Source organism: Homo sapiens, chromosome 2, assembly GCF_000001405.40.
Source record: "Homo sapiens chromosome 2, GRCh38.p14 Primary Assembly".
Taxonomy (NCBI): domain Eukaryota; kingdom Metazoa; phylum Chordata; class Mammalia; order Primates; family Hominidae; genus Homo; species Homo sapiens.
The window spans coordinates 162,291,197-162,303,471 of NC_000002.12; the positions used below are offsets into that span (position 1 = coordinate 162,291,197).

General features: G+C 34.5%; 1 protein-coding gene across 2 annotated transcripts in view; it reads right to left on the bottom strand.

Annotated features, from left to right (window-relative positions):
* The window catches only part of IFIH1 (interferon induced with helicase C domain 1), a 51,611-nt gene that overhangs the window by 24,123 nt on the left and 15,213 nt on the right, over positions 1 to 12,275 (bottom strand). For both annotated transcript variants that reach the window (NM_022168.4, XM_047445407.1), the window contains one exon: positions 2,368 to 2,472. In NM_022168.4, the coding sequence (NP_071451.2) occupies positions 2,368 to 2,472 (105 nt within the window). The remainder of the gene's footprint in view (positions 1 to 2,367; positions 2,473 to 12,275) is intronic.

The following is a 12,275-nucleotide window of genomic DNA, read 5'->3' on the forward strand; positions in this document are numbered from 1 at the left end:
TAAATAATAATATTCTATTGGAACTACACCATGTGGCAAATTTCATTCTCACATTGATTTTGACAGCTGAGTTATTCTTGGAGAGAAAAGGTCTGTCACTGCATGTGTTTGAAATCTACAAAGTATTCCTTTACCTATGGTATGTAACCACAGAAAAATACACCATTCCAGCTGGACAAATATTAATAGGCATTATCTTGAAATAGTAAGGAAACACTTTCTACATATCAGGCCAATATGTATTGCCAAAAACATTGCCACTTTTTGAGAGGCAATATATCTTTCTGAAAATGGGAAACAGAAAAAAAAAAGCCTCTCATAATATAATTAGAATATTTATACTTTAAAAGTACCGGTAATCATGTCTACTATGGCATAACACTTCCACAAAGGAATATAATATGATTGTTTTGGGTCACACCTTATGGCCCATATATGACCTCTGGAGGAGGAGGAAGGACATATAGAATGAAGTCCCTTTTGATGTCAACTTCAAAGATTAAAACACAATTGCAAATTCTATAATACTTTTCAGTGCCTCAATATGTGTTTAACAGTTCACCAATTTATCTAAACCTCCTTTTGAATTGGTTTCTATTTTAGCTTATACCAGGCACTTGTGGGCAAGGAATTTCATAATTTTACCATTTCGGAAATTGACTACCCACTAGGCAAAGTAATTCTTTGCTCCTAAGTACTGATCCATCTAGAACTTCAAGTGGTGTTCGTTCTGATGTGTTTGTCTTCAAATATGTATTTGCCTTTGAAAATGTATTTGCTTTTCAAAAGTAGATTGCGTTCAGACTTATCATGTGTTTCATGCCACATTGAGGACTAAAAATCAGCAAATACATTTGTTAACAGCTCTAAATAGGCAAGATGCCCTGCACATAGAAGGTACACATTAAATATTTATTGAATGAATGGATATTATTGAAAAGCCCTTACTTAGACAAATGAAAATTAGCATGATCTCCAAAAACTTAAAACAACCTATAATGATGTTAAATATTAGCTAGATTATCTATTTTGAGTTCTAGCATAGCATGTAATAGAAATGTTAATTATTAAATTGAACAATTTTATGACAAGGATAGAAAAAACAAATATAATCCACAGAAATAAGCACATGGCAAGAACTCAATAAACACTGACTGAATTGAACAGAAAATGAATTCACCCTTTTAAATGAAGATTAAAGTTGTGAATGACATTTGGTGAATTGGGTTTCCTCAAACTAATTTGTTCTAAGGGATTCAGGAGTGTCATTGTGATAAAAGGATATATGAAAAAAGAGGTGCTACAATCTAATTTGGAAAGCATTTAGGATTGATGACAATCTTTCTATAAACTATTTTGCCACCTTAGGCCTCTTGTGGATATCAATTTTTATAATTCTTCTGACAATGCAGGATAATCTGAATTATATAATATATTCTTAGGGGAAACAACTCAATCACAAATGAAGAATAAAGTAATGTGTTTCTTAATTTATCATTTTTCCAATGCTTCTTAGCTGGCCCCTTGCAAAGCATTTTATTTTTGTTTGTGATTTGTTCATTTTAATTGTGAAATACTTCAAACAGGTAGGCAAATATAGAAAGGTATGTAATAGAAACCCACTAACCCATCACCTACATTTAATAATGTTAACATTTTAGCTTAGTAGTCATCATGGAAATATACACTCAAAGAAAAGAAAGAAACAATTTGAAATCTATCAGACTAACAAATTGGAAAACTGATAACAGGAAGTAATAATTAAGGTGTGGGGAATTAGGAAGAGGCACTCTCATTTATTGCTGGTGGAATATACAACTGATATTGAAAGTAATTTGGGAAAAACCTGGTAAAATTTTCATTTAGTGACCGAAATATTTTGCCAACTCTACTCCTATTCAAAAGATACTTATACAAACTTGACTTCTTTTACTTACATATGTAATTTCTAGTTAGTCATACTTCTCTTATTGATAGTATCAATTTTTTATTTAAAAAGTATTTTAATTTAAAAAGTAGAATTTGGAAGTAAATAAATGTACCAAATTGAATACAGTCTATTTAAATGCAGTCAAATTAATTGAAACAGATCCCATAAATAAAATAGATGACATGACTCTATGGAATGTGGCATATGCCAGACCAGAAAGATATGTACTGGATCAAAATTAGAGAGTTTGGTTCTAAGAGTTTGTAAGTTACACTTTTAAAGAAAGTGAATGGCAAAGTTCCAAAACTATTTCACTGTAGAAAAGAATTGCTTTAATTGCATAAATACATTAGGGAGGGTATGAACAGCCCCCATGCTTCCACTATATGGCGTCTTATTTCACACTTTTTAAGGTTTACACAACAGTTAGGCAGTACCTGAATCACTTCCCATGGTGCCTGAATCACTGCCCATGTTGCTGTTATGTCCAAGACTTTCATCTAAGCAGCTGACACTTCCTTCTGCCAAACTTGTGTCTGATTCTGCAAAGGAAAACATTTTAAAATATTTTTAAAATATTTCTGAGAATAAACGTATTTTAACTGCACACCTCTACAGCACACAGTACATACAGTTCAATTCAAGTGGGGAAGGCACACCCAGACAATTATGAATAAAAGGTAAGCGCTTCTGGCAGGCTACATTAAGAAAAATCCACTATGGATGAGCAGCTGCTGGGTAGTGATTCAAATACATATTACCTACTTAAAGTACTACACATCCAGTATGAGAGCTAAAGCAAATTCCTAAGGGTTTATAACTTTTATTGCCCTTCTACATGTAAATGTTGCCCAAGAAAACACTATTTAGGTTTGATATGTCTTTTAAACAAAAAATAATACATAGAAACCTTTGAGGTCTTTTCATTTAAAATGATAGGGAATTAATAAAGTACAAAAATTAATAAAGTACCTGGATCTACTGATCAGTTATGAAAATGATAGTTTGGTGATAAACATAGATGTAAAATCTCAAAGAGAATTTGTTCAAAAAGAATATCACTAAAGCCTGGCATCACAGTTGTACTAGAAGCTCATGTGAGGTTGGAAATAACTGTTTTTCTTTACTATAATTAGATTAAGCCTCTATCAAAGAGTTATGGTTAATATGGATGAATAGCAGTGCACATCCTTCATTTATGAATCCTGACATTCTGTTTTCAGAACTCAGGATCAATTCTTTTTGAAAACCTTCTTTCCCTCAGAGAAGAATTCTTTTCTTACAGTTTATTTCCAAACACTTACACAACCTCATCCTCAAGCACCAGAACTATCGTTAAACTGGTAAAAATAAAGCAATGGTGGTTACTAATATTGGCTTTGGAATCAGAAGGACTTGCAAAATTTGCTATTCACTTTGCTCTGAACCTAACAAGTTCCCCTTGTTTTAAAGTGAGGCTAATCCCACTTACTTCACAGCCCTTGATAATCTTTAAGTAATATTAGGTACAACAAGCTCTTGGCACAGGACTTTAATTGCTGGCAATTAGAAAATGAAATAAAAATCAAGAAATGATATATTCTTAGGATAGGAGTTCCATTAGATAATGTTCTTCTTTTAATTAAAAATATTTTATAATATTTATACTTAGATAATATTTCATCCTAAAGCCTCTTAACACACCAATGAGGTAGCTCTTAGCTATTTAAAACTAGTCTGAGTGTCATATTTATGGCTGGAAATAAAAATGGATGAAAAAATAGACACATAGTATGTTTTAATAAAACTTCTCTGAAAAGAGATGATATACAACTCAAAACTGCAAATATTTCCTTTTTCCTTAAGTAGTTAATTTTTTCAAGTCAGCTATATTAAGATATAATTTACTTACTAAAAAGATTACTTTTTATGTTTATAGTTTGAGAAGTTTGACAAATGTATACAGTTTTGCAACTTTGAAGAGGTTGACATATGTATACAGTTACGCAACTACCATCACAGTTAAGGTATTTCCAGCACCCCAAAAGTCTCCTCAAGCCTCTTTGTAGTAAATCCCTCTGGTTATCTAATCTGGTTTCTGTTCCACATCAGACAACCAGTGGCAACCACTGATCTGGTTTCTGTTCCAATAGTTTTTCCTTTTCCAGGATGTCATATGAATGGATTCATGCAATATGTAGCCTTTATGTCTGTCTTTTAAAACTTAGTTTATAGTAATTGTGATTCATCTACGTTGTTGTGTGTATTACTAATTTGTTCCTTTTTATTGCTGACTAGTATTCCACTGAGAATCTGTGACATTTACATCTCCCATCCAATTTGGATGAGCCTATTTAGTTTAAGAGCTATAACAGAATTACAGCCAATGCCAATCAAATATGTAAGGTATCTTTCTTAAAAATTAAAAGTAAGCTGATAAGAAATTTGTAGAAAAATTCTCAATGGACATACATACTGTTTAAGTATATTAGCACAACATAAATATACTAATGTGAAAATACTGTGCTTATCAGTTGTCGCAGATTAGTTCTAAAACTCAGATTTGAGGAATCCCTTATGATCACACGGGAAAACCTGTATATCTCACTGAGAGATTTAAAATATGGCACCTCGCAATTCCCAGAGGTATGTCTTGTTAGAAGCTCAGAGGCGAATGTGGGATAGAACTGTCAAGTAGAAGAGCGTTTTGGGCAGATGTACTGATGAAAAGAGAATATGATTTGTAAGGAAAAGGCAAGGTGTAAAATGAGATGGGGAAAATGTCATTGCAAGAGTAATTCTAGATCTAGAAATATAGGCTAAGATTTTTGAGGCAAAAAAGTGAATTTTGACATGCTTTTCATTTGCTGTTTTAAATGTAATATTGAGAACTGAAGAGAATACCAAAATTACTGAAAAAATACTAACAAATATCTAAAATCTAAGACTGTATCATTAAATTTTCCAAGTATAATAAAAATGAAAATTATATTTGATTTCCACTTCATTTTCTAATCACTAGCAGTTAAACTTTAATCTTAAACCTACTTCATCTACATGTAGAGTCAAGATTTCTCCCAAGCTTTGTTCTAACATCCGTAAGTTTTGGGAGGGAGCTATTTATGCAATGTGCACGAATAATTGATGAATTGTTTTAAAAGTTGCTACCCAAAATAGGGTATTATTAATAAAGTCTATTATCTGGATTATTTTGATCTAACAAACCAATCACCAATGTGTCAGGAAGACACTGAACTCAGAGTTTTCACAGATGTAATGTAAATTTCATTTTAATCTCTCAACATTCTGTGTGGTAGATACATATTATCTCCTGTTTCATAGGTGAGAAACCAAGGCGCTGAGAGGTTAACTGATATATCCAGATCACACAGCTACAGTGGGGCAGAATCCTCATTTCTGAATCCAAGTCCAGTGTTCCAGTGCTTTTTCCGCTAACACTAAGCATGGCTGATGATTTGGGTGAAGTTTTGTAAACACAGTGTTAACTGAATTAAGAGCTGTGGTGGTGGTGTTTTTCAACAGCAAGAGACATTTTCATTGTATTGTCACATTTCTATCCATCTTGAAACAGAGCTTATCTTTCCAAGAAAAGAACTTAGAGAGATGATTTTGCTTTGCTAACATTTCTGGTTTCATTGATAGATTTTCACTAACTTTACATTTAAGTGTCCACACCTCTTTTTAAACTTTTTTCTGCACTCAAATAAAAAGAACACCTCTGTTCTCGTTACATAAAATTAATTGCAGTAATCCTGTAGAGATTATTATGAAAATGAAAGTGAATATATGGAGCTCGATTTCTTTGTCATTTTAAGGGTATATAAATCTTCAGTTTCTCCACATAAAAATAATTTTGTTTCCTAGGCAGCAAATTCTTATGCATTTTGATATACGTTTTTGCTTTCATAGAAATATAAGTAAAATTTAATAATAAAAGAAAATATATTGTATTTCTTATAATAGGGAGAATGCCTTCCCCAGAGATCTTCCTCCTGCATTCACTTTAAAAACCGTATTACACACAAACACACACACACTCCCAAAAAAGTGAGATCAAGAAAGTGTTTGCGTGAAGCCAAAATTAAACCGACCTATTGAGTTTAAATGCCAAGAATTTCTGAAATTGATTTATTTAGGTTTATCTTGTTTTGTTCTTTGTATTTTTCAAACTATGTCAGTCTGGATTTAAGTCCTAATGAATAAAGTCCTGCGTTTATGATTTTATAAGTAGATCGCATGGAGTTAATTGGAGGCAGGCCTTGCTATGAAAAAAATTTGTGCTTTGGAGTCCAACAGATAAGTCTCCAGATCGAACGTAGCCACGACTTACAAGCAAATTAACCTTCTGTTTTAAAAAATATATAGAGAGAGATAGTAGTCTCTATTTTCTCACTTATTGTGAGAATGATTCGGTTAGACCAAGAAAATGAAACTCGAAGAGAAACAAATTTTAAATTCTCATTAAAAGGGCTTTGAATATTGAAGTTATATTGTATAATAAGTTTAGTTAAGTTTTATATAGGTGTCATTTCCTCTAGGGAAAATATCAAAGCTAACTATGAAACAGATTAGAAGATGGTAGTAATTGAACTGTTAAAGAAAAGCAGTTATTTATATCAAAAGCTATTGGAATGAATGAAAATTATAACCATCCAGTTAAGAGATAGGATTTTCTTTCATAATTTTGTAAACAACACAAAAAAGAACAGCCTTGCCTACAATGACAGCAAGTGCCTAAGACCAGCCCAAAAGCCATGGAAAAAAAAAGCCTTATTTTGCAATCACATCTTGAGTATTTTGCTAATAAGGCAGAAATATTAACTGAAATCCAAGAAATTTCTTATTTAACATACTCTAGACCTTAAATACTTTAAAATATTTTTAAATCATTTAGAAACCAAAAATATTGAACTTTAAAATATTCAAACCAAAAAAAATAAATAAATAAAGCAAGAGGTTGAAGGCCTTTTTAGATCTATTTCAATGTAAAGTCTGCCCTCTGCTGGAAAAAGCTAACATGGCAAGTAGTGGACAAGTAGGCATTCTTTATTCAAAGAGCTAAGCTCCATTAGGTAAAATTCAAATTGATTCTTGCTTCTATTCCTACCAGGTAGTACCTCTTCTATTTTTGGCCTAGAGGCATTTATCACCCCACAGAATATCTTTCGTTTCTTTCCCCTGGCTTCAGTCTGCCACACACTATTTTTCCCGAAAAGTGGTTTTGCATTACAGCAGGAAACGCGAGGGGAAAGGGCCTCTGTGCATATTGAGAAAGAACAGCACCAACTGCTCCTGTTCTCCTGCGAGTCAGTGGTGACAAGGTCTTTAGTCCAATTTCACTTTTCATGGTAATTTCATGTTTATTCTAGTTCTGACCTTGTGATGCATTTTAGCTTCACCTTTGCAGCTATCCCCACCTTCCCTCCAGTTTCATAATCCTCACGCCTGGAAGGTCCAAGCTACCCCGAAAGCTTGAAACATGTGTGCACGTTTGGGCACACACACAAAGACTGCATGGGCTTCTCAAGTGGGCTTACACTCATACTGCTAATAATATATATTTCCTTTCCTTTTGAAATAACTTAATCTTTTTTGAGAGGAAATAGATCACTTTTATTTTCAGCTCTATGTATATGGATCTACACACACACGCACGCGCGCGCGCACACACACACACACACACACTCACATTTTGGTCTGTCAGATTTTCCTCTCCGTGCCAGGGAACATGTGTTCCCACAGAATGGAGAGAAGCCACCTCCACCCACCTTGCATATTCTCTCCTGGATCCAAGCTTCTAGGAAATGAGTTCCCCAACGAGAAAAATCACTCTCCTAGAGCCACAGGCCCACATGGCTATCCATGGAGCTCCTCTGCTCCTGTTTATAGAATTTCTACTGCTGAAATGTTTCTAACAGAATTAAATTTGAATTGTGTGTAATGAGGTTGGCTTAGATTGTATCATCTATGCCCTTTAGCCTTTGCACTTAGGTTCTAATAAAGAGAGGTAGTTATTAAAGCACAGGTTGCAAGGATAACAACACACACCAGAATGACCCATTCATTCACTGCCAGTCAGTAATGGAGGCAAAAAGTCCTAGAGTAGAGTCAGTTAATAGTGAGAAGCCAGGTAACCACATGGGAAGTAAATCTTGGCAATAACAAGGTTTGGAGACGGCAAGGTAGAATGTGAATTAGAAACCTCTTTGGCTGGTAAGCACTTTTCAGGAAAGGCTGTAGGAGTTAAGCAAACTTAAGCAGACATGAAAGAATGGAGGGAGATACGAATACACTAAGGGTGCCCAGGTAAATGTTCAACAACTGGCCCTTTGGTGGGGGGAGACAGGATTTTTAAAAGGTTTGTCAATTTCCATGGTGTAAATATTCACACCGTGGCCAATTTCCAGCATGATGTCCTGTGTGGAGCTGGAAAGAGATGTGCACACTGGGGTCTTACAAGCCAGTAAGATCCAGTTCCAGCGCTCTGCTAGATATATTCCTCTACCTAAGGACTTTCCTACAATCATCATCTGAGATGATGCTTGTACACACATGCATTGTGCTGGCATTGTATAATTATCCAAATGATAAATGGTGTACTTTTAAAAGTGTGTGTGTGTGAGAAAAAGCATTGTAAAAATTACTGTTAGAGAAACTCGTTAACTTTCACTGATCTTAGAAGTCTTAAATCCTACCGCCCTCCTCCACAAATGCTCCTCTCTCATCAGACTGTTCCTCTGAACACATTTTGAGCTCTCTTGTGCTTGTGCTTTTGCTCATGATGCCTCTGAAACCTGAAATGTTGCCTGCCACTTCTATTTACAAATCCAGCATAGTGCTCTCAAGGCTCAGATGAAATATCTGATATTCCTCATCTGGTAAGCTTTCTCTCGTCAGTCTTCCTTCTTTTACAGATCTTCTCTCTTCATCCTGTAATATAGATCTTGCATCTCTTTTACCATGGCTAGATTACAGTTTCTTTGTGGAGGCATGTCACTTGTTTTCCTTCATTAGAGTATAAACTTTTTGAGAGTGAACGCAATTCCTCAGTGCTTGGTTCTCTCAATGATACTGTATTATCTGACCAACTCACCTCCTTCTTCCTATTTCTCTGGCTTCTGACCTCATTCACATCCTAAAATTGTGAAGGGAAGATCTGATAGTCAAAATTAAAATCACTGCTTTTGTTAAAACTCTGCTAAAAAAACAGCTTTATGTTTGTAGTCATAAACAGATATCATGAAAATAAATCCAACATGTATTAACTGCACACTGGGGAGATTTCTTTCTGTCTTTCTGTCATAATATTTATGTCCCCATTCCTGAGGTATGAATGGTAATCCTCCTAGGACTATTATGCAACTGTAAGCCATATAACTGACCCAGATACCTCATGCTAGGTTTCAAATAAAATACAAACTTACATAATCCTTTAACAAGTACCAATATCAGTGTCAGCATCAGCATCTCTCTCTTTCTCTCAGCTCAAATTAATATGTGTCTTTTGGATTGCCTCAGTAGTACTGCTAGTTCTCAATAATTAATGATAACTAAGTTTAGAAAAATTAAAAAGTAAAGGAGTGCTCTTACTTCAAACCAGTCCTGATATAGCATGAATGATTCTGAAACAGTCTTATTGTAAACTACTGTATCAATTATTTTTTTCCACTTAGGTTTCAAATGCTATGGTTTTATTTCTAGAGATTCTAAAAATCTCTAGATTTCTAGAGGTTAGTGCTACAGAACATTATTCTGGTCCTCAAGTGCAAGGATAAATTTTGTGGCACTTTTACAGAAATTAGTATAGACCAAATCTAAGATTGGACTTTAGTCTATAAAAAGGCAAAACAAAACAACAACAAAAAAAGTGCTATAACAGATTGGACCAGGGAGAAGAAGGCTGTTTTGTAAAGGTCAATTTTTAAACCCCTCCTACAGAACATGATCTATGCAAAATATATCCACAATATATTCCAAAGCATAATGTCACCGGATAAACCTAAGGAGTGGAACATATGGGGAAATATGAGAAAGAAGGTATTAAAGTCTGAAAACAAGCAGGTTGGTAAGCTCATTAGCTGGGGTGGAATTTTAAAATCTTCACGTGAACGAATATATAAATCAAAATATACACATGCAATCACAGTCATGCGCACTGTATATTCACACATGGCACACTCTACAGTTACATTATAATCTTTCACGCTGAAACAGTGAAATTCCATTGGCTTTATAAATGTAAAGGCGCCCTCTGCTGGCCAATCTGAGGCATTTGCATTTTCTAGTTTTCACAATAGGGCAGCTGTAACACAATGATTAAAGAAGTTTGGGGGGATTTTCTGCTCCATTCTGCATAAAAGTTTATACCAAATGCAATAAAGTTGACTTAGTTTTAAATGTCACTTAATTTCCTTTGATTTTATTGTAATGCATTAATTCCTAAAATAGTATAATGAAAAAAGGTTAATGTGAAGTAACTATTCACTTGTTTTGACAAAGCAGCAGTAGCAGACAAAGACTGACTGCACAACTAATTTAACTGTTCGCTTTTAGAAGTAAAATATTTGCTATATAGAAGTCAATTATTTGCTATAATTAAAATGCTTTTAATAGAAAATGAAAGCAGGCTTAGTGTCTCTCTGATGTTTCCTAGGGAAATCTGATCTAGAGAAACACCAAAGTTTTGCAGTTATCTTTTGTTATAAGACGACCAGTGACTTCAGAAAGCAGAACTATAGCATCCAGCATTAAATTGCCATTAATAGTCTGAGAACTGTTCAAATTTTGTTTAGAAATTGTTTTGGTAATTTGGAAAAGGGCAAATAAAAAATTGATATATCAATTACTAACCACTTTTTTAATGAGAAGCAATTGATTTGTAAACATAGGTGGGAGGAGGAAAAAGGACACATATCAACCCGCAAGTTTGGAGATATGATGAAATCACTCTCTAGAACAATCCACTAGAGAACTCTGATATGTCACCTCTAGTGCCAAAGGGATATGTGTTTAAAATTAGTTTCAAGGTGGGCCACTGTTACTGATGGTAGTGTGTCTTATCCATCAGATGTGTTAAGGGGTAAAAGGTGCTAAAACACACACACACACATAATCTTTGCATTAAAGCTATAAATAATTAATATTTGCATGCACTAAGACTACTATGCACTGAGAAAATATTTGATAAACTGGTTCAGAAATAATAATTATAAATATCTTAATTTAAAATTACAAATAATTTGAGTCTTTTCTTTATACACATAAAAATCATATTTACAGACTTTGTGACAAGTTTTTTTCAGTGCTATCTTGGCAACTATTTGAAACTTTAACCTAATATAATGGAATTCAAAATAAAGACTAAACATTATCAATATCAAGAAGATACACAAAACAAAACTACACAAATGCATATTAGAAGCTATGGAGCACTTTCACATTTACCTTGATTGTTACTTCTGTCAGAAAATGCCTATGCAGGCAAAACCCTTCCATAGTAAATTCTGCAACAAAAACTTCAATCAAAAGAACTCAATAATTTCTCTGGACTAATGGTACTTTATAAGTTATTAATATCAGTAATTCTTAGTCCTTAAGATAACAAGGAAACAAACAGATACCTGGAATGACAGCAGCAGTCTAAAGCAAAGGTCTGAAGCAAACACACTACATTTTCATAAATAAGTGACTCTTTGCTAGTGCTCTGGAAAGGGCCAGAATGGATTAAACTAACCTGCTTTCAAATCCACATGAGAAATCCAGATATCATAAAGAACCTATGGACTAGAAGACCATTAAGATGTTTGTGAATTGGATGGATCCTCGGATTACTGTGCAGTTTACTGTATACTCTTACATGCTCTCAGACTATTATATATTTTAATACTCTGTACTACTCTTTCATGGCACTTACTAAAAGTGTAGCTATACAGTTACTACTGCTGGGCCGACACCTCCCTCAGTGGAAAGCTCCATGGGGGCTGAAGTCATTTCTTTTTTTTTGAGACGGAGTTTTTTTGTTCTTATTGCTCAGGCTGGAGTGCAATGGTGCAATCTTGGCTCACTGCAACCTCTGCCTCTTGGGTTCAAGTGATTCCCCTGCCTCAGCCTTCCAAGTAGCTGGGATTACAGGCATCTGCCACCATGCTCGGCTAAGTTTTTGTATTTTTAATACAGATAGGGCTTCACCATGGTGGTCAGGCTGGTCTTGAACTCCTGGCCTCAGGTGATCCACCCGCCTCGTCCTCCCAAAGTCCTGGGATTACAGGTGTGAGCCACCACGCCTGGCCTGACTCATTTACTCTTAATTATCTCTTACCATCACAATCTCCAGATAGAGTCATAT